The 23,120-nt window shown below is 39.0% G+C and overlaps 1 protein-coding gene across 2 annotated transcripts in view; it reads left to right on the forward strand.

Moving 5' to 3' along the window:
- The window catches only part of TMC1 (transmembrane channel like 1), a 316,690-nt gene that overhangs the window by 234,708 nt on the left and 58,862 nt on the right, over positions 1-23,120 (forward strand). For both annotated transcript variants that reach the window (NM_138691.3, XM_017014256.2), the window contains one exon: positions 16,098-16,240. In NM_138691.3, coding sequence (NP_619636.2) covers positions 16,098-16,240 — 143 coding nt within the window. The remainder of the gene's footprint in view (positions 1-16,097; positions 16,241-23,120) is intronic.

The following is a 23,120-nucleotide window of genomic DNA, read 5'->3' on the forward strand; positions in this document are numbered from 1 at the left end:
AAATTTAAAAAAAGGAAAAAAGATCCTGGGGAACTGAGCAAGTGGTTCTTATTTCTTCTTAGGCGGGTCTGGGTTTTACAGAAGAGATGGCCTCTGAGTTGGATTTTACCTCTCTTTTCTATCACTTCTAGATTTTATTTCTCTTTTCTACCACTTCTAACTTCTTCCACCTCTTCCTCCTCCCCTCCCTTTATCCCTCCCTTTATTTATCTCTCTCACTTTCAAATTTCAAATAATGCATTACTATGTCCCTTTACCACTGTTTTAATTTCTCATTCTCTTCCTCTGATTAGCAAAATGACAAACTTCCAGTCTGCTTAATAAGAACAAGGACGAAGATCACTGACTTTTTCTGTTTTTTAAGGCATAGCAGAGAAAGGAAGGACTAAAAATATGAACAAAAGGTCTTTTGATTTTTATATATAGATTTCTGAAGTTTAAATACTTCTGAATTTCCCAATGCACTGAAATGGAAAATTTTGGGCAAAAATGTCCATTTGAGATTTGAAAGTTAGTGACTCAGTTGAGGAAGACAAACAGAAAAGTTGCTGTAAGAGAGTTACTAATGAGTGGACAAGAGGGTCTGAGAGGCAAATTCAGGGGAAAGTAGAGGGAAAGGGTTTGGATGATGAGTGTGCTTCCCAAGATTGTATCACTGCCCTTGACAGCTCTCTCACATCCAGTTTGGTGAAATATGATTTGTCGGTCAGCAGGGGATACAGAAACCAGAGTGTTCTATGATAGTTATTTCAAGGCCTGCCTGAAAACAATACTAAGGCAATGAGAGAAATTTTAAAGGTCAAGAAAATATAAGAAAGCCATTACACTGATTTTATTCACTTACAGGCTTGCTGCATGCTGGTATCAGTCATTAATTTGGTATGCATCATTGCTGGGGTTAGTAGTGATTTTAATAGCTGTATTTCTCCAATGTCTGCATCATGCAGTGAACTGTGATTGGTAAGTAAGGTCCCTCACTTCACAACCCACTTCATGGTGGGTATTTATATCTGAGACTAAGCTCGAGTGTTCTTATATGTGAAATGGAGAAAATAATAGTATCTACCTCAAAAAGCATCAAGTGAGATAATGCATGAAATAGCAGATAGCTCAGAGTATGTAGCACACAGTACAGGCTGAGTATTCCTTATCCAAAATGCTTGAGACCAGAAGTGTTTCATATTTCAAATTTTTTCAGATTTTGGCATATTTCCGTATACATAATGAGATATCTTGAAGATGACATTGAAGTCTAAACACAACATTCATTTAGTTTCATATACACCTGTACATATAGCCTGAAAGTGATTTTATCCAATATTTTAAGTAGCCTTGTTCATGAAACAAAGATTTGATGGTGTTTTGACTGTGACCTGTCACGTGAGGTGAGGTGTGGAATTTTTCACTTGTGGCATCATATCGGTGCTCGAAACATTTCATATCTTGGAGCATTTAAGAGTTTAGATTTTTTTTTATTAGGAATGCTCAATTTCTAAATATTCCTTATTACAAGAACCATAACTTGACCAAAGGCAAACAGCTATTAGGAAACCGAATTGGGATGCAGGGCTGGTGGTATTACACACGGTAATGTATGTGGATAGTGGCAAGCTAGTAAAAGGACTTTTATTATAACAAAGAAGTAAATACATAAGTAAATAAAAGTATTCTGACCTTAATGAGGAGTTCTTGAAAGATTCAAGGAAAGGAAGCAATAGGATTATATAGTCATTATCAAATTGTTCATTGAATAACATTATTATTTAAAAGAAAATAATACTGCTTTAAGGAATTTTATATGATATACAAGTTTTCATGACTTTTGAAGTTTGAAAGATTTGTCTTTTGTTTTGGCAATGATTATATTCTAAATTCAGCAGGAAAGATAGGTTGATTCATATTAAGGGACACTTTGCTTTTACATTTTTGTAAGAAAAAGGAATTCAGCCCATCCTACAATAAGCTAATAATTGAGCACATTCTCTATACTAGGGTCAAAATAATTTCACAAGTACATCAATAAGAGAGAGGGAAGGACCTTTAATTATTAAACTGAAGATAACAACAAGAAAAAAATGTACAAAGCTTAATTTAAAATATAGGAGATTTGGTTTCACAGTAAAAATCCAAAAGAATAAAGCCAAGTAGTCACTGGTAATAAGACATTATAGATTCAAATGAGATGCTGTCTTGGTCAGGACGTGGTGTCCTCCACGGCAGAAGGGAAGAGGCTGCCTGAGCACAGATTGTCTTGAGTATCGTGCATAGATGGTAGAGATCAGACGCCACAGACAGCCGTGGGCTGTCCCTTTAAGAACTCCCATAGAATGGGCAGAGATGTCCTAGAATTGGACAATAAGGAAAGAGTACAAGGAAGGAAAAATAAAATCTAGCCAAGCTCAAGGACCTGTATGTGTTACCTCAGGTTAACCAGACGTTTCTCAGAAGACAGAATCTAAATTTCTACTTACATTGCTTTTGTTTTTATTATCATTTTTGTGAATAATACCAAAATTAATGTAGACTAAGTACTTATATGGGCAGGCACTGTGCTTAGTGCTATGATATTTCTATTTATTTATGAATATTATACTCATATATTTATAGTGATTTATACTACTTGTTTCAGTATGCATCAAGAAATGGAAGGCACAGATATCTTGACAGAGATAATTTAATATAAGAAATTAAACAGGTATTGGGTGACTAAAAAGGCAAAAGGGGACATTGAGGTAACATAGAAATGGTAACAGGTAACACAGACCAGTTTTTACCCCTACTGTTGGGAGAACAAAAGAGGAAGTGGGGTTATTAGAATCTAGGGGCTTGGAGGAAGGGCGCTGCATGGCCCCAAGAGGTGTGATGAGATTGGTTTTGAGTGTGCTCGAACAGACTGGAAATGGAACCAAATACCGTTACCAGAGTGAAGAGGCATTGCTGGAGCCATGCATTCAGGAGAGAGCAAATCCCTTCTCCTGACTTTTTGTCTAAGTGCCTCCTATAGGAAAAATCTGCAAGGAATCCGATCTCAAAGGAAAAAAGTAGCTCCCCAAGTCCCGTCTCCAGCATCACAAAGCAGCATATACAAGGATGGGTCTGAAGCTGAAACAGCTTACTAACTGGCACATTATTCTATTTATATTATGACCTATTCCTCTTCCTAGTCCAGTAAGGTAGATATGACTATTCCTAATTTACAGATGGAGAGACTGAGTTTTAGTAGGATTTGGTATTTTCCTCCAAGTTCCGTGGATGGCAAGTGGAGAGGCTGGGATGCTCATCTGGTCTGCCTGACATCTCTGTCTGACTCTGAAGCCTAGGACAAGCTGCCTCTACATAGGCTACTAGGAGCCACTGAGATGGCTACAGGTTTATACTGGAAATTCACAAAAATAAGAGAATTTTAGAAATAGAGGTGCTCTTCGATATCTTCCATCCTATATCTTACCTTATAAAGTTACAGAAATTTTGAGTTACTGAAGCATGTTCAGGGTCTTATAGTTGTTAAGAGGCTCCTAATCTAGTGTTCTCTTCATGTCCTGTATTCCGCCCGTAATTTTCCTGTTGTAATTTCCAGCAACATTCTCACTGACTGCTCCTGGAACATTTACTGACTCTGTTTCATGATATATCTATTTCACAAGGGGAAATGGAGTTGAAGCATTTGGGCCCCATTTTAATCTTTCATAATAATCTTGTAATTCCCAAATCAGCTTCTCAAATAGAATGAGAGCTTTCATGTTTTTTTTTCCTAAATTCTTTTTGTATCATTTAAATATTATGCTTTATTAAAATATTCATAATGGAAAATCATACTTTGAAAATTGTTATTATTAATTTTGCTTTGGTTGGTTAGCAAAGTTCTATCTTTAGTTTTTAAAATTAATTTATTTTTGAAATAGACAATAAAAATCGTATATTTGCATGAGTTCTTTGCTTGATCCTCTGAACAATGACTTCATAGAGGTGCTCACTCTGTATTGTCAGATGATCTAAGTATACAACCCAGTATACAACCCAGTATTCCATCTATCATGGCACCATGGAGGAAATCATTGACAAAATGTTTTTAAACTCCTTAAAAATTCATAATCCTGACTTTTGCAAAGCCCAGGGGTGCCAAAGCAGGCATCCCTGGGCTTTTGAAAAATGCCATTATTTAAGCTAGAGCCGTTATCTAGGCTATCATTATCTAGGTAGAGTTTGGGGTGTGTGTGACCTCAATATGAAAACATTTGGATCCACTCTCTTGGATCCAAAGAGATGGCATCTGGAGGCTGTCTCTCAAAGGAGATCTGAGCAGCACACCCAGCAACAGGATCAGCTGACCTTGGACAGACTATATAGAGGTAAGTTATTCCACATAGAGGCAGGTGAACAGAAGCAGAATAGATTTAAGATCTGCACTTACAGAATAATGTAAGATAAACACAAGCATGATCTCTTATGGTACAGGAGCCTATTGGATGGGAAGGATCAGAAAATCTTTGGGGTAAGGTAGGGGAGGTTGTGAGGAACTACCAATCTGTAGAGCTTCATCTGGGAACCTTGGAACCTCCTCTCCATACCCATGAAAGCGCAGTGCTCTGTGACTTAGATGTATATATCACAACTCATCCAAATTCTCTTCAGTTAATAGTAGACAAACACCATACACAACATGCATGATCAGCTAGTCTCAGGGCTTTTCAAAGTCAGAATTTACCATTTATGAAACACTGTATTTTTAAAATATTCTTATTGAGTGCATAATGATACATCTTACTGATGGTGCTGGAAATCTGTTTTATTAAAATAGTAAGAAACAGAGAGATTATTATGTATGCAATGAATCAAATAAGCAGAAATTGTATCATGTAAATTAATAGAAGCAGAAGAATGAGTTTAAGTCAGTAGGAAGAGGATGTCTTTGTTGGCAAGATACCTGGAGAGACAAGGGTGATATAGAAATGATAAAGAAGAAAAGGCTACACAGTTTTAATATTCTTGTGAGGAGAAAGAAGGAGGAACTAAAGTGGAATTTGGAAGGAGCTTCAGCTGATATCAGACAGTGAGATCATATGGGTAAAGGTTTAAGTTGTGAGTAAAGGGAAATGCATTCTGCTTTTCACCTTGAGAGCATCTTGTACATTGCTGATGGATAAATGGTATGTCTACTTTGCCTCCCCTTTTCTGCTGATTATCATAGATGTGGGAGATAGAAGATATCCTACAATGGGCAGGAGAGGAGACTTAACACCTATTATGTGTTAAGTAGGTACATACATTAAATTTTATCCTCATAACAACTGTTTAAGATGGAATATATCATCCCAGATTATTCCTTCTGCCCTGCCTGCCTCACATCCCATCTTGGAGGTTTGTCCTTAAAGGAGACAGGTTAGACACATATAGAATGTTAATAAAAAGGAGATAAGTTCTTTAATCAACATCAACAACTCTTTTCAGTAATAATGTTCCAAAGTAAAGGTGTCTTCTCTCAAACATATCTCAGTTCTCTTAAGTTCCTTCATCTCTTATTGCACTGGACACAGGTAGAGGAGATATTTTGTGATTCACACGTGGAATAACACATCTTTTGTTTTAGAACTATTTCAGTGGTTCGAATGCATCTTTATTTGAAAAGGTGAATCATTTTAGGTTTCCTGAGGTGTAGACATCAAAATTATGTTACATGCAGGAGATATTGGGGGAGGGAGGCGTGTGAAGGATAAAGGAGAGAGTGAACAAGAGTAGACAGGAAGAGCTTTTAGATGGTAATGCAGGCCCTATACCTGTGAAAGGAGAGAGAAAAGGAAGGATTTAGGAAGAGTCTCAGATTGTACTACAGTTTTGAAAGAGTCTTGGCCAGGCTAACGGTGAGTCTCTAAACAAAGTATGTCCATTAGATAAATTCCATATTGGTTAGCAATAACCCAGCTCCAGTATTTCCCATCATGCTCAGTCATTATCTAGGTAGTGGTTGGGGTTTGTGTGACCTCAATGTGAAAACAGTTTGGTCCACTCTGGTGGGTCCAAGGAGGTGGCATCTGGAGGCTCTCTCTCAAAGGAGAGCTGAGCAGCACGCCCAGCTGCTACCTTGAAAATGTGACTGGGCTCCTCCACTTTAGATCATAGCTGTTCATATTGCTGTTGTTGCTGTTATTTAGTTTCAACAGGTTTCAAATGCAGCCAGAATGACCTGTTTCCCACATCCATCGTCTGGGCCTACCTCCGTGCTGGGTCAGCAGAGGCTGAACTTCTAGATCATGAATAATTCTTCGGTGGCATGACCCCAAGCGAGACTGCTAAGCCTCTTGTGGACAAATTTAGAGTTATAAATTTTCAAATCCACCTAGAGATACGTCTCTTTCCCTAGTAGCAGAGATCATAACTTTGGAGGGGGTGAGGACCCTCTCATCTGTGGATGTAGTGAGATTCCTCCAATGGCTTTGCTGAGCAGGGTGGGCTGCTGCTCAGGCATGTAACGCTGGGACTGGCAGTATCAAAGGGCTCTGTCCCTTATTTACTTCACTTCCTCAATGTCCAGTGTGGGTCTCTTTGGTTCAACAGGCTTATTAAGTTTGATTAAAAGAAGATGCATTTCATGTTCTATTCTAGGTCCTAGATCACTTCTTTTGCTTTGTAAGCTTCTTAATTTGCTACTCCTGAGTGACTTTATGACACAGCTCTAGCTTGTGACGAGAGAGATTCCTGGGTCTGCTTTTAGCTTCCTTGGTATTTTAAACTTGGGGAACTGATTTCTTAAGGTCTGAAGTCCTAGCGATGCCTTTTTTTTTTTTTTTTTTTTTTGCTTTAGTAACACATTTTAGTTTTCATCACCTCCCTCAGGCTACACTTGGCCAAACCAAAAGTGAGCTTTTCTTTTGCAAATATTAGGGATGCATATGATCCTAATGCTATACTTACAATATGAAAACAGCATTCCTTCTTTGGAAGTGACCATAGAAATGAGTCTTCTTTTCATTAACATAGTAAACATTTGTTGGGCATTTGCCAGGTGCCAGGCATTAAGCAAAGATGAGAAAACCCAAGGTCTCTGTCCTCAGGAACATAAAGTCCGAGGGAGTAGTCAAATAATCACAAAAATAAATCCAACTGTAATTGTGCCAAGTGCTATGAAGGAAAGCTATATAGTGTTAAGAGAACTTATAGAAGACAACCTGATGTGGTTTAGGAGCTAAAGGAAGGAGACAGATAAAAGAAAATATTTTTCTCTGAGAAAGTAATGTTCAAATTGGGCTCTAAGGAGTCAGGACAACCTCTGAATTTGAAAGAAGGGAGAGATATTCTCAGCAGTAAGAACATCAATTACAGAGAACGTGTGATGATAAGAGGTGGCCTTATTCAGGGGACTGAGTAAAACGAGAGAGCTCAGAATGTGAAGGGACATCAGAACACAAGGCATTGGAGAGACAGAAGGGAACCAAAGCACGTGGGATCCTCTAAAATCTAGACTGCACTAATTATTTTTTTTTTTTCTCAGAGCAATTAAAAGTAACTTAAGTGGGGGGTAGGTGGGTAGTAACATATCAGACTTGGATTTTGAGGTAATCAACAGACTGTAGACGGGCAAGATGGCTGTGAGGAGATCAAGGAAGAATCTTTCGATATGACTAGGTTAGAGACTAAGGTTGGAAGAGCTAAATTTACCTGGCAGGAATTTTCTATATCTAAATATTGGCTGCCAAACTAATAGATTAAAGGATGAGCCATTGAGTTAGGTTAGAACTTCACAATGCATTAAATTATAGTCAATAATTTAAACACATAGCACCAAATCATAAATCTAATACATCTGTGGTGACAAGTAGATTATGTAAATCTACATTCATTTTTTTCCAAGTAGCTGCAATATATTCTTTACATTTTAAATTATTTTATTTGTTCAAAAACTCCTTTTTAAATACATAATACCAAGGCATCTCCCAGTATAGGCTGTGTCCAGATGACCACACACGTCTCGTTTCATGTATGAATTCACAAAGCTTCACTCTGAATATTTTAAAGAACCAGCAGCAAATTTATAACTCCAGAAGTCAACCAGCCAACAAAACCCTCTAATATGCTTTTAATCTCCTCCTTGCGAAATGAAAGAAGACAACTTTTTTTTCTTTGTGGAAAGAAATTATACATAAAAGCTCATTTTATAGCACTGAGACTGTCTCATTTTGTTAAGAGTTTTATGCAATTAGACAGTAGGAAAAATTAAAGAGTTTTTCCAGTTTCAGTGTCTCTCAGACACTTCTTTGGTGTTTTGATTCATTAAATCCCAACATAAGATTATTATTGCCACGTTACTGTCTTGGATGATTTACTCTATTTTATTAAAATGGGTAGCAGAGAGCAGAAGAATAAAAAAAGTTGGTGTACATGACAATTTAAAGGAGCTTATTCTAACTGAGGATTGCTAATGATTACCAGAAGCAATTTTTTTTTGTTCATTCAATCACTCCACAAATATAAATTGAAGTCAGATGTTGGGAATACAAAGACAACTAACATATATTCCCTGCCCACAGGGACATTATGATCTAATTGGATATGCAAACAAACAATTGCCATGCAAAATGACAATCTGAGGCTGATGTACATATGTCTTAGGCACTTGGGAACATAATGGAATAAGGGTTCAGTGTCCGGGTTAACTGGCATTCAGATACTGGACTCTTGAGAGAGCCCAGTAAAGAGAACCTCTATTTCCCATGTGAGTTCTGAATAATTTGTTTAAAAAGAAGAGGCAGATGGGCAAAAAATTTTTCCACATTCATTATTAATGGAAATCGAATTGGAGGAACAATCCGGAATTCTTAGCCAAATGGTCTTGCTGATTTAGAACCCCAAATTAGCCATTTTACCTCTAGGGCAACTTATTTCCTAGAAGAAGAAAGATATGTTTGGGCTGGGCCAGCCCAGTTAATTCTTTCCCAGTTTACCAACAGAAATCACTATGCCTTTCCTGGTGTGCAGTGAGTATAGGGACAGAGAAAAGCTGAGGCATATTGCATCAAGTGAAGCTCCGTGCCTCTGAAGGAAATGCTGAGAGAAAGGAAGGGGCATTCATTACCCCTATCACAACTGGCTGTGGTTGAGAGGTCAACAAAGGCTTTACAAGTATCTTGAACCAGCTTTAAAGAAAGAGTAGGAATAGAGCAGGCTCTAGAATGGGGCAGGCAATTGGGAAGCGAATTCCAAGCAGAGAGATCGGCATGCACAAAGGCATGGAGGCATGAGATAGTGCTATGCTCTCAACACCCAAGAGTGATTCAGCAAAGTTCATATTTAGGGAGAAAGGAGGGCAGCAAGAGGTGAGCCTGTCATACTAAAAAAAAAAAAAAAAATTCAAAAAAGAGCCTGATCAGGGAGAGAATTTCATTATGCTCAAGTCAGACTTTATCCTATAGGCAGCGGAGCGCACCTGAGATAGGAGGAAGGAGCAGGTTTGGGGAATTTTCTTGAATGTGCTATGTTCATGCTTCCTATGAGACATGCAAGTGGAGTGAGATGTGTAATGGCATTGGGCATAGGGTCTAGAATTCCCACTGTTAGTGTCAGTCGTGGGCCATGGCACAAAAGGCAAATGGAAGTACTTTCTATAGAAGCCAGAAGAGTTAAAAATGCAGTGTAGCATAATGACAAAAACTAGGCATGAGATTCCAACAAACCTGGGTTTGAATCCTGCCACATACGACCTATGAGATATTAGACAATCATCCTGAACCTTGTAGTTGCCATGTATAAAACAGCAGTATTAATACCTAGCTACCAGGCTTGTATAAAAAATACATGAGATTATGTGTGTAAAGTATTAGCACATCTCGGCTGGGCGTGGTGGCTCACACCTGTAATCCCAGCACTTTGGGAGGCCGAGGTGGGTGGATCACAAGGTCAGGAGATCGAGACCATCCTGGCTAACATGGTGAAACCCCGTCTCTACTAAAAATACAAAAAATTAGCTGGGCGTGGTGGCGGGTGCCTGTAGTCCCAGCTACTCGGGAGGCTGAGTCAGAAGAATGGCATGAACCCAGGAGGCGGAGCTTGCAGTGAGCCGAAATTGCGCCACTGCACTCCAGCCTGGGTGACACGGTGAGACTCTGTCTCAAAAAAAAAAAAAAAAAAGTATTAGCATGGCTCTGGCACATAGTAGATTCTTCTTTAAATGCCTCTTCAGGATACTTAGCTCATGAAAATTCCCATTTGTTGGAGGGACAAGGAAACAGAAGGAAGGAACTTGTAGCCAGAGCAAGAAAGTGGAAGTGGGGCAGCAGCCATGTCCCCTGTGTAGGCAGGAGGCAGGGGGACAAGAGTACCAATGCAAGGATGGAGGGATGGATACCCAAAGGAACTGCCTCATTCACAGCTGCTTGAGGGGCAGAGATCACTGTCTACAGTCCTTAACACAACTTGATTCCCTCTGCTGAAAATTAGATCTGCCTAGGCTCAGCTCAGCTTCCTCTTTGTACTCCACACTGTCTCTGTTAAGAACCATAGAGCACCTGTTTCATGTCTATGAATCTGGGTTGGAGCAAAAGGAAAATAAAATAAAAAAAACTCAGAGATGAGCAAAGTATTAGGCAGAAGCCTAATGGGTCTGGCTGGAGAGGAGGAGTGTGGCCATGCGCTGCTGTCAGCATGCAGCTCACAAGGCCCGGGCTGGCTGCTGTTCTTGTGACGTTAGTTGAGGTTTATTCTGGGCATAATTAGCCTTTTCACTCCTTGTTTCTTTCCTGTGTTGCGTCCTACTCCATGAAATGTTGAGTGCCAGTCCTTGTCTTTCATCCACACTTGAAACCTTCGTTCATGCTAAGGTGTAAATAACCAGCAACAACTCAGAGAAAAGTAGAAATACACCCAGACTTGAATCTTGCAGTGTCACCTCCCCTCACATACCCTCAGCAGATATGCTTAAAAAATTATATCTTCCTTTCCTACCAGTTTTACTTTATACATTCTTTCAAAATAATGGTCTGGCAGCTATTACAAATTAAAAAGAGTTACTAAGAATGAAGAAATTCAATGATCATCCTGGGGATAGAGTGTTATCTTTCATGGTGAACATTTCTTGGTAATCATGAGAAACACCAAAGGGATGCAGTTTTAATATAATTTCAGGCAACAAATAATTATGAAGGAGATGTTTTGCATGCAGAGCCTTTTGGGGACCTCTGAAATCCTGTCTCCTAATCCATCTATGTATATTGGGCAAATAGTAAGTTCTCAATAAGTGTTAGTTAGAAAAGTAAATGCATGAATTGAGTCCTGGTAACCATAATAAAAACAGTCTTTCTTGTGGAAATGTGTTGGTGATTATGGACTGGACCAGCTGCAGCAATCAAACAGAAATTAGAGTCTTAATAGACAACACACGAGCATGGCACCCCAGAGTTGGACAGAAATTTTCTGTGCTCACTGGGAACTTGGCTCTGACTCTGGTTTCTCTGTCACAGATTTTGGGGTGGGAGAGTGCTCCCATGGGGAAAGCAGCACGTGCTGATATCGAAATTGAATAGAACCTTGGCTGGGCTAGGAGTCATTGCTATTTTAGTCACTTCCAGATGTCTGCTGCTGTAGTTTTAAGGGACAGGGAAAGATGAGTGGAGTGTGGCATGCCACTGGGTAAAAGATGAGGAGCGTTCTCCTTCTAAGCCCTTCAAGTTGTATTTAAAGCCATCCCTCAATATGCTACAAAGATGGATTGGATAAAGCCTTTAAAAACTGTGTTCTTCTATTCACAATAGCAAAGACTTGGAACCAACCCAAATGCCCATCAATGATAGACTGGATAAAGAAAATGTGGCACATATACACCATGGCATACTATGTAGCCATAAAAAAGGATGGGTTCATGTCCTTTGCAGGGACATGGATGAAGCTGGAAACCATCATTCTCAGCAAACTAACACAGGAACAGAAAACCAAACACCACATGTTCTCACTCATAAGTGGGAGTTGAACAATGAGAACGCATGGACACAAGGAAGGGAACATCACACACTGGGGCCTGTTGGGGGGTTGGGGGCTAGGGGAGGGATAGCATTAGAAGGAATACCTAATGTAGTGACAGGTTGATGGGTGCAGCAAACCACCATGGCATATGTATACCTATGTAACAAACCTGCACATTCTGCACATGTACCCCAGAACTTAAAGTATAATAAAAAGTTAATTAATTAAAAATAAATAAACAAAAACTGTGCTTTTTAACATTCATTTATAGATTTGACTTCATATATATCAAATAGGCAAACTGCAGAAACCTTTGTGAACTAATCATGACTCTGCCTGCCCCAACTAGAAAAACAAAACAACACAAAACAAAACAAAACCAGAACCATTCTTGGGCTTTGGTTATGATCTAGTATTTATGAAGTGCCAGCCATTAAACATATGTTGAATGGTACCTATGCCAGATGAGCTGGCTGCCCCCAGTAGCTATTGTGCTAACCTAACAAGCTCACCAGATGCTTGTTCTATATCTGCTTTCTCCTTTTATGATATTTTCGGTGTGTCTTTTAATCCCAAAATTGTCATTATGAATTAGATAAAAGATATCAGGTGGGGGGTGACCCCCTCTGAAATATTCTCAAAAGGGATGCCTGGGGTTCTTTCCAAGAGGCCCTGTCACCACCAGGGACCAGTCTAGGGTATAGATCAAAGTCTGTGATGGGTTCATAGAGTTTCTTGTTTCTTTCCTTTCTTTCACTGAGAAGGTATGGCACTAGCATGATATAACTCTTGCTGGATAAAGAAAGCACAGGAGAAGCAGTATAGTGCAGTGGTTAAGCATATAGGATTTGGATTAGACTCAGGTCAAGTTCAGACACTGTCACTCATTAGTCATGTGAACTTGGACAAATTACTTAACCTCTCTAAGGCTCAGTTTCTTCATCTGTAAAATAGGTATAGTGATAGCAGCTATTGAATTTTTGTGTGTGCAGGAGAGGGGAAAATTATGGTAAATAATAATTCCTCCCTTGTCCAACAAGATTGTGAGCTCACCGGAAATATAACAAAGGGTAAGACCAGTGAAGGTCAACATGCCGCCTTTATTATTGTTAAAGCTGACATAAAAGAATGTAGTGTCTTTATGGACAAGTGAACTTCACAGCCAGACCTCTCTGCCAGGACAGGCCTCTCCTTGCAGGAGCAGAGCACAGCATGTTCCCTCTCAAGAGAAGGAAGAGATGTCCGCATGTCTCCATCCATGCTCTACTGTCAAATCAGTCACTTTTCCCCGAGGCTAGAGTGAGGCAGTGGAGGGTGGCTGGGAGTGTTATGTTAATGGGTCTTCACTTGGAAGGGAACGTCAAGAGTTGGAGATACGATTACCCTAGTAGCAGCAACTTCATAGTGTTCTCCTGAGGATTCTGTGAGATAAAATAAGGTGTTTGGCAAGTGCTAAATGTTCACGAAATGTATACGGTGATGTTACTTGTCACAGCAACCATTATCACTGAGTGTCACATCTGTGGCAAGGAAATAGGGCAATGAAAAACAGAGACATTTGGAAGTTGTGGTGTTGTCCCATGAGGGTTAAATAAAGAGTTCAGGATATAATCTTTAAACCAAACAAGAGATTAAGTGTCTATACTTAGCATGTTCTGTTATTGTCACCCTGGGACAGAGGAACAAGCATGAAGGTTTAAGACATGATAGAAGGAGATTGGATTTAACACAAGTGGGAAGAAGCAGAGATCTTAACTAGATAAATGTGAAACAAGAAGATGTCATGCACCTGGGAGCTGGGAGATCCTCCCAAGCATATTCTCCTGGGATGAAGATTTCTGGGTCTTGGGGAGTTGGTCAATCCATGTCTTATCTTAGACATGAGATTAGCTCACCCACTCCCTCTGCTTGAGGTTTCTACTAGCTGTTTATCCCCAAATGTTCTGTTGGATGGCATCCTAGTCAGGGTTCTCCAGAGAAATATAACCAGTAGAAGATATGTATACACACATACACACATATACATATATATATATATAAAATTTATTATATCAATCTAGTATTTATATAATAAATTTATTTTGATTTATCATTATTATTACTTAAATTTATTATATAAATCTTTATATATATATATATGCATATAAAATTTGTTGGGTTTTTTTTTTTTTTTTTGAGACGGGGTCTCACTTTGTCACCTAGGCTGCAGTGCAATGGTGTGATCTTGGGACACTGCAACCTCCACCTCCTGGGTTCTAGCAATTCTCCTGCCTCAGCCTCCCAAAGTGCTAGAATTACAGGTGTGAGTCACCATGTCTGGCTGATATATATAATTTATAAGTTAATATAAATAATAGATTTACTACAGATATAAAAGGAGATTCATTTTGAGGAATAGGCTCACACAACCATGGAGGCTGAGAAATCTTCTAACCTGACATCTGCAAGCTGGAGATCCAGAGAAACCAGTGCTGTAATTCAGTCTGAATCTGAAGGCCTGAGAACCAGGGGAGCCAATGGTGTGAATCCCACTCTGAGGGCAGGAGGAGATGAGATGTCCCAGCTCAAGCAGTGAGTGAGGCAGGAGAAAAAGGAGCAAATCCCTCCTTCTTCCTTTTGTTCTTCCTCTTTTTGTCCTCAGTGGATTAAATGATGTCCAGCCATGCTGGGGAGGGCAATCTACTTTACTGAGTCCACCTATTTAACTGCTCATCTTATCCAGGGACACCCTCCCGGGCATACCCAGAAACAGTGTTTGATATGGACACCCCATGGCCCACTCAAGTTGGCACATACAATTAAACATCACAAGTTGGCTTTATTTTTTCTTAAACTGAAAAATGCAGATACAGGCCTGTGTGGCCCAGGGAAACCCAGACCTTTGGTATTTACCTGTGATTCATTCCGTGCAGTCCCGAGTTAAGCACACAAGTTCCTCTGAGATTATTTGGAGATTTTATTTTGTTCTAGTTCTTAAAGAGTACAATATTTAAGAAAATTTGCCCCATATTTTGAAAGCAATAGTTTTTCAGATCTCTGTTGGCCTCTGATTTGAGTTAGGCATGATGTTTGTTTAAGGCAATTTTCTAAATTACTTCTCTTAATTCTTCCTCTAGGAATTAGCATCTACGACATTTCTACTTTCTTTTCCACACCTCCACTCTCCCCCACTTCACTTCCCTTCTTCAGCTGTGAGTGTCAAAGTCCCTGGGTTCGTATAAATGATGTCAAAGGCAACCAATTGGGTTTTCTAAGATTCAGGGTTGACTCACCTGATCTCAAGAGGAAGCCCCATATTGACAAGTGATTATCTTCTCATTTCACAAAACATAGTTATTGTCAGAGAGAAGTAAGAGGGGAGCTGGGGAGTGGATAGCTGTAGTGATACAGTAACAGTGCTTCAATGCTGAAAGTGAAAAACACAGTGAATGTGAGGAAGAGAAAAGGTGCATATTATAAAGGAAGCAGCATCAGAATATGCCAATGTTCTGAGAATAAAGAGGGAGTTATTCAGGTGGCTTTGAGAGAGGGTGATTTCAACCCTGGCAGATAATTTTTAGGAACGAGAATCTAATGCACAAGTAAACATGCTTGTTATATGGGAATGCTGTGATAGTCTTGATGAATGGGAAGTGTGCAGATGAGTTCCAATGTCATCCCACCTGCTCTTTGATATTTGTGAAGTGAGAGCTGAGACATAACCTCTGTGGTTTAAGAAGAACTGATCTAATTATGGTCAGGTGATTGGAAATGGAAATCTGCCACAGCACTTTGAGGAAGCATTTTTCAGATCCCCATCCCCTAGTATTAAGCAAACTCTTAAAATCGTAAATCTAATGATACCACGAAATGTGTTTTGATGTTTAAATCAAAGGGCATTTCACGGTAATGGCTCCACAGCTGAGCAAGCCTGTATTTGCTTAAAAATTTTATCTATTTAGAAGTCACTGATTTTCAAATAAACTGAAAAGCTGCCAATCAACATGGCAGCTGAAACATTCACTTTATGGAGCAAAACAATAGGGCTCATGTCAGAGCTGTGACCCAAGTTTGAAAATTAATGTCATTTTGTTATTTCTCTTAAGAGTTGATCTTTTCCTTTGAGTTGCTCTTCACGACAACTGCTAAGTGGCTTTGTTGTTGGATTTCAGGGTTTGGCACAATATTCCGTTCTCTTTTATGGCTATTATGACAATAAACGAACAATTGGATGGATGAATTTCAGGTTGCCGCTCTCCTATTTTCTAGTGGGGATTATGTGCATTGGATACAGCTTTCTGGTTGTCCTCAAAGCGTAAGTTTCATTTGTCTTTTGGGAAGCAAATAATGATTTCTGGAATCAAATGGAGGGATTAATTTGGGGATTGGATATAATTTTGTTGCTATTTTATGTCTAAAGGAAACAGAGTCTGTAAGAGATGAAATGTAGTTTTAATACCAACACTAATGTTAGACTATTACATCTTCAAAAGAACTGAACATAAACACAGGCCTTTGAGTCATCTCATGGGGTCAGACCAATGCTTGCATGCCTATCTTGTGTTTAAACATATTTTTTAAATGTGTATTTTTGTACTTGAAGGTGTGAATTAATGTTGCCAGCAAGACAGGAAAACAGCTGCTGGTCTCTCTTTTGCGTGCAGAGAGGTTTGTAACTTGCAGAATCAGCTCAATAGGCAGAATCTATTGTTCTCTGCTCATTTTTTAAAAAAACCAGAATAATCACTCATTCAAAAAATTTTAGCTGTGTAAGACAGCAAAAATGAATGGTCCCCAATGAAACCATCACAATCAACTGTATAATCATGGTTTGTCTTGGGAAAAGATTTATTGGAGTATGGGGAAGAATTTCACTGGAGAACTGATATTACTGCAGTTCATTTTTCTCCCTGCCTAAAATTATTTATAATACTCCACTTAAAGACTGCAGAAGCCTAGCAGAGTTATTTGGGTTTATATATTAAAAAAATGACCCTTTAGCCAATTTTTTTTGAACTAGTTTACGAGAAGAGTTGAAACATCTCAAGTAAGGTTGCCATTCTTTTATTTGACTATGTGCAAGTTGAATGAGCTTTTCCCCTCATTGTAGGAGGTCCCTCAGCCTGAGGGTCTAAGAGGGGAAAAGTGCAAAGTCACCCTAAGCAGGAGCTCTCTGAAGCAGTCTGTGACACACTTTGTGTCCTAAACCTGCCTCACTTACTTGTTCCTCCAGAGAAAACTGCCATATTTCATTTTTAAGCTCTTTTAGGACTTAAAACCTTATAGGAAATCCTATATCTAAGATATTTATCAACCTGCTAAAGTGTAATCAGAGACCTCAAATATAAGAGACTGTCCATCAGATAAACTACTATCACATTCCAAAAATCGAAGATATTTTCTAGTCTTTTGACTATATTGCTCTGGTTGGGCTGAAGTCAGAGGTATCATTTACATTACTGAGGCCTCATGAGTATCATTTCTGTGTTGCTCCTTTAGTTTCTGTGGTCAGTGGAGAAGAATAGTTTCTCATGTCTGATGACTCAGCTTTTATTCCGGTAACTGTGCAGGCTGTGTACCCCACAGCCATTCTGCCTAGGTTCAAATCCCAGCTCTACCATGTATGTATTTATACAATCATTAACAGATGGCTCAACTGCTTTGTTCTCCTGTTTCCCCTTGGTAATAGAGGTGTAATGGATGTGAGGACTAAATGAATTAATACAAACAAAGCACTTAGAATATGCCTGGATGAGAAAATTATTCAACAAATGTTAACAATTTTATTAGGCTATATTTTATTAGGCTATATTATATTTTATTAGCCTATAATTCATAGGCTTATTTAAGAAAAAAAGCCAGCATGGTAGGAGTTGAGGCCACATTATAGATCCCCAAAACAAGGCAGTCATGTATGGTTATGCAGTTGTACATCAGTAGATTTGTATATTTAATAAATGATTTTCTGGCAGATGAATTTAAAGTATCTAGAGCAGCATTGTGCCAGGCAAGCCACATATATAAGTTTAAAACTTCTAGTAGTCATTAAATAAATAGACAGGTACATTTAATTTTAATAATAAATATATTTGCTTTAACTCAATATATCAAAAGTATTATCATTTTAACGAACAATCAATATAAAATTATTATTGAGATATTCTCTGCCTTTCGAAAGGTATCAAGTCTTTGAAATCTGGTGTGTATTTTATACCAGTCGCATTTCAATTGTTCAGTAGCCAGATGTTGCTGGTGGAACACTCTGTTGGGTAGAGTGGCTCTAGAGGAAGTAGTGGCTTTTTCAAAGTTGCTCGAAGATGCCATTTGGGATAGCTGCAGGGCATCAAATCCACATTTTCCCCCTCAAAGTCATTCATGTTATATCATCCAAACCAGTGTGGCCTTGAACCTTCCCTCTGGCATGGACCTTTGGCTGCTCCTTACCTGGTTAACAAGTAGTTCAAACTCATTGCCCAAACAGCAAGACAACTCAAAAACAATACACCACTCTCACTCCACCACCAGCCCATGGGAGAATATTCAGTAGAAAAAGAATTGATGAGATATAAATCTTTGTACAGAATCATTAATCATCTCTTCCTACTCCTATCCCAGTCAAATATTCTCTTGGAATAAGTTTGAGCGGATTTATGACATACATTACTCAAATGGAATAGAAGGTAACCTAAGTTCTAAAATCGACTAGGCTACATCAAGATTTTTTCACTGTACTCATTCTGTTAGCGTCTGCATACTCATCCACAAAATGGGAGCAAATATCTATTTTTAGTTACTTAATAGCAAAATCAGAAAATAAAAAGATAGAAATCCAAGAAAATAGTTTGAAATTTTAAGATAAGATGACTAACTTTGTTGGCCCAGGATTCTCCTGGTTTTAGAACTGAAAGTCTTGCATTTGAGAACCTTTCAGTCCCCAACAAACATGGATGGTTGGTCACCTTGGTTTTAAGTCCTTCCCTTTTCTTCTTCCTCCCTTCATTCATTTCTTTTATCCTTTTTTTTTTTCCTTTTCTTTCCAGGTCAGTGTACATTTTCAACCACATCATATGCTTAGAAATCTTCATGATAAATATAGTTACATAAGTATTAAAAGCAAATTAAAACAGTATAACATAAAGTTACACAACATGGAAACCATCAGCTCATTTAAATATTGTCCTCATTAGTTTGAAGTTTTATATCATAAAATAAAGGTGGCTTGACATCAGAACCCAACTGTTCCCGTTAAAAACAATTCTCTAAGCTAAAAATTTGGGGTTTTACTGGTCTATTTTACAGCAGCTAAACTACTGGAAGCAGTTGAATCATTTTGAGAATGCATGTCTTAATAAGAAACTCATAGCTATTTTATCCTTGTAGGCTTTTTCAAGACTTTTTCCTGTTTGTAGGATGTTTTAGTCCATTTCGTGTTGCTATAAAGGAATACCTGAGGCTTGGTAATTTGTAAAGAAAAGAGGTTTATTTGGCTCACAGTCTACAGACTGTACAAGAAGCATGGAGTCAGCTTCTGCATCAAGTGAGTGATTCAGCTGTTTCCACTCCTGGTGGAAGGCAAAGGGGAACCAGCATGTGCAGAGATCACGATGGTGAGATAGGAAGCAAAAGAGAGATGGGGAGGTGCTGGGCTCTTTTAAACAGCCAGCTCTCGTGGGAGCTAATAGAATAAGAACTCACTTACTATCCCCTGCAAAAGAAGGCATTAATCTGTTCATAAAGAATCTTCCCCTATGACCCAAACACCTTTCATTAGGCTCTACCTCCAACATTGAGATCAAATCTCTACATGACATTTGGGGAGACAAACAGCGAAAACTCAGCACAGGGCTCCCTGGGATTAGATATAATTTTTCTGTTTATGATCCTGGCTATAATAATACTCATAGAATGGACTAACAAATATTCTTGGATACTTAAATCATGTGCTATACGTAACCCTTAAATGGTGTCAAAATTTTTGTCTACATAGACTATAATATAGATTATATATATATGAGATATATATTATAAACTACATATATCACAAACCAACCTCAACACATGCAGATAAATATTTTTAAATTTGGCAAAATGACAGTATGTTCATCCATATTTCTGGAGCTGCAACAATAATTATAAATTATACTTGAAATAATAATAATTAACATCTGTTGAGCATCTCTCATGAATCAGTTTAAATTACATTACTTCTAATCCCTAAACATTGCAAAGTAGCTATTAGTTTTATAATTTTACAGATAATGAAATAAAACTCAGAGATCCTAAATGAACTGCACAAGGTCATTTGACTATAAGACCTCTTTGAATTTAGAGTTTTCTAGTTCAAAAGATATCTTCTACCCCTTACACCTTGCCACCTCTCTGTACTGTGCTTCTCCTTACGTAGGCCAAGGTGTTCCTCCCACCAATCTTATATACTGTGTTGAGTACCCATTAGTTATTCCTATTGGATGGATGGAGAAATTAAGGCTCAGCAGAGTTTGAGGATTTCACTAAGTTCAAATGCCCAGTAATTTGCATAACTGAACTTTGAACACCTTGCTTTAATTTCAGCACTTAGCTTTTCTAATTTCTGATGTGGATTCATCTATATTGATGATAACAATCATCAATATAGACTGATGTCTCTGTCTCGTCCTGGGTAGCCTTTTTATTTTTAAAAATTCTGTATTAAAATAGTTTCTTGTCTGTTGTTAAATTCCCTTAGAGTTTTATGGCCTTGATGTGACTCATGTGACCAAACGTTTTGTTAAAAAAAAAATTAAACTTATCAAAACCAAGTCCTTGTTCTACAAGACTCTTGCATATTCCAAGATAAATCATGGCCAGCTTCACACACACCATTTCTAAATCAACGAGACTTTATTTTCTTCCTTCTACTTAGATGTCAGTGCCTTTGTCCATTTTCTTTTCACTTCTTTGGTACATGTTTACCCAGACAGTTATGACCTACCTGATACTCTGCCTAAATATCTTCCATGTCTCTTGACATCCTTAATTTCTTAACATTGAAATTGTTTCTTTTTCCTCCCCATTTTCCCACCCCCAATTAATTTTTTTCTTTGTCGAAGGAATTTCTCCTTATCTATTTAGTAGAAAGCAGTCAGAGTGCCTCATAGACCCCAGTCTAATATTTTACTTCTCAGAGATATTTTCATTGGAGATCATAATGTTTGATGTATGTAATGATGAATTTCAGACCCTAGAGAAAGTTATGGAAGGGTAAGTGGACCTGGCCTACAGGGCATGATATTCTGGCAAATCCCACAAAACATATGGTTATCTCATCTTCCTCAAACTATAGTTGACCTTATTTCAAAAATGCTTGGAGCAGAAAAGCAACGAGGTATGAAAGACATGAAGTCACCACCTTCCATTTTATATTACTACTCTATGAATTGCATCTAGATTTTAAAACTCAACATAAAAAACTGTCTTCTTGCAAGCATGGACTAATAAGGATAGTAGTAGTTCACAAAGAATGGCAGCTATTTACAAAGTGAGGTGATATTGTCAAAACCTATCATAATGACAAAGACAGAACTAAACAGTGATAGAATAACAAGCATATGTGGTATGCATTTATTATATGTATTGTGCCATGCAAAAAAGCAATTTATGCTGTATGTATTTACTTGGTGAGGCTCTTTCCAGTGCTAAGTTTACTTCTAGAATGACAATTCATGTATTCATTCATTTGATTACTATTTGTGGAACACCTAGAATGGGTAATCTAAGAGAACTATCCAGTACCTGGGTATTTCATGGTGAGCAAAATAAAGTCCTTGCCTCTGTGGTGCTCAGTTGGGGAAATATTGTAAACAAAGAAATGACCAGTGGTTTTGGCCAATGTAGTATAATTTTATGTTGTTGTTATCCTCTGCAGTCAAATATTTGCTACAGCTTCTTCATCCTCAAGAATTTTAAATAGTTGAGAAGAGCCAAGATGGCTAACAAGATGCAGCCAGGAAGAGCTTCTCCCAATGAGAAACCAGGGTATTAAGAAGATTGGCACACTCCAAGTAGATCTTCAGAAGGGAGGCATTGAGAGTGGATGGAGGAAGGATGTAGACTCTGTGCTGAAGTTAGAGGAAGCTTGGAATGCTATGCTCAGGAATGAGTTCTAGGACTCATTCCTGGCTCCGAGTGTCTCCTAAGGAAGGGAGAGTTAAATAGGCGTGGAGTAGCCCACTCTCACCATGGACCTCCATAATTCTAGCTGCAGGAGTCTCAATGACCCCCATGGATATTTGAACTGATAGGGGGAGCTGCTTGAAGAGTTGACAGGGACAGGACTGCAGACTGTGTGGAGTTCAGAGGATTTGGCAAAGGAAGGACTGCAGTAGAGCACAGCCAAGGACACCCATCCCTGAAGACTCACCATGCCCCTGTAGGCTTTGGCCTTTGTTGACTGTCAGACCAATACAGAGCAGGGCTGTCTTGCCCATGGAATGAGGCCATTCTGATCTGAGTGCCTCCCTTGTCTGCCAGCCTTTCCTGAGGTTCATGCCAGGCTGTGCCCACTTGCAGCACAGGCTTGGATGTCCAACTGGGGCACTTCCTAAAGGCCATCATCATAGCTTCTTTGTTGGCAGACCCCACCCAACTGTTGGAGAGCTTCTGAAGACAAGCCTCCACCCGCACACAACCACCTGCAGCCTCCCCCCTCTGCTTTGCCAACACGCAGGTATGCATGGACCCTGCTGCTCTGCTGCCACCAACACATGAGCACAGACCCCACTGCCACTGCCCCGACAAAGCACTGTTGCCAGCAACCCTCATGGAGCATTGTTGTTAACAGACTGGAAACACCTCAGCTCCTTCAGCACAGCAGGTGTTTAACCTTGAGAGGCCAGAGAACAAAGCTGTGTGCCTGGTCCTATACCACTGGGTTACAGCACACAGTCCAGGAGTGCTGAGCTGAGCCCAGGTCCCCTGAAATCAGCCAGAAATGAAGCCAGTTGACTAGACCTAACTTATATCACAGTCAAAACCTCAAAGGCATCAAAGAATTGCAACTTTAAAGATTAAAGAAACATCAGCTCACACAGATGAGAAAAAACCAGCAAAAGAACTGGGGCAACTCAAAAAGCCGGAGTGTGTTCTCACTTCCAAATGACCATGCTAGCTCCCCAGCAATGGTTCTTAATCAGACTGAGATGGCTGAAATGACAGAC

This window comes from Homo sapiens, chromosome 9 (genome assembly GCF_000001405.40).
Source record: "Homo sapiens chromosome 9, GRCh38.p14 Primary Assembly".
NCBI lineage: Eukaryota > Metazoa > Chordata > Mammalia > Primates > Hominidae > Homo > Homo sapiens.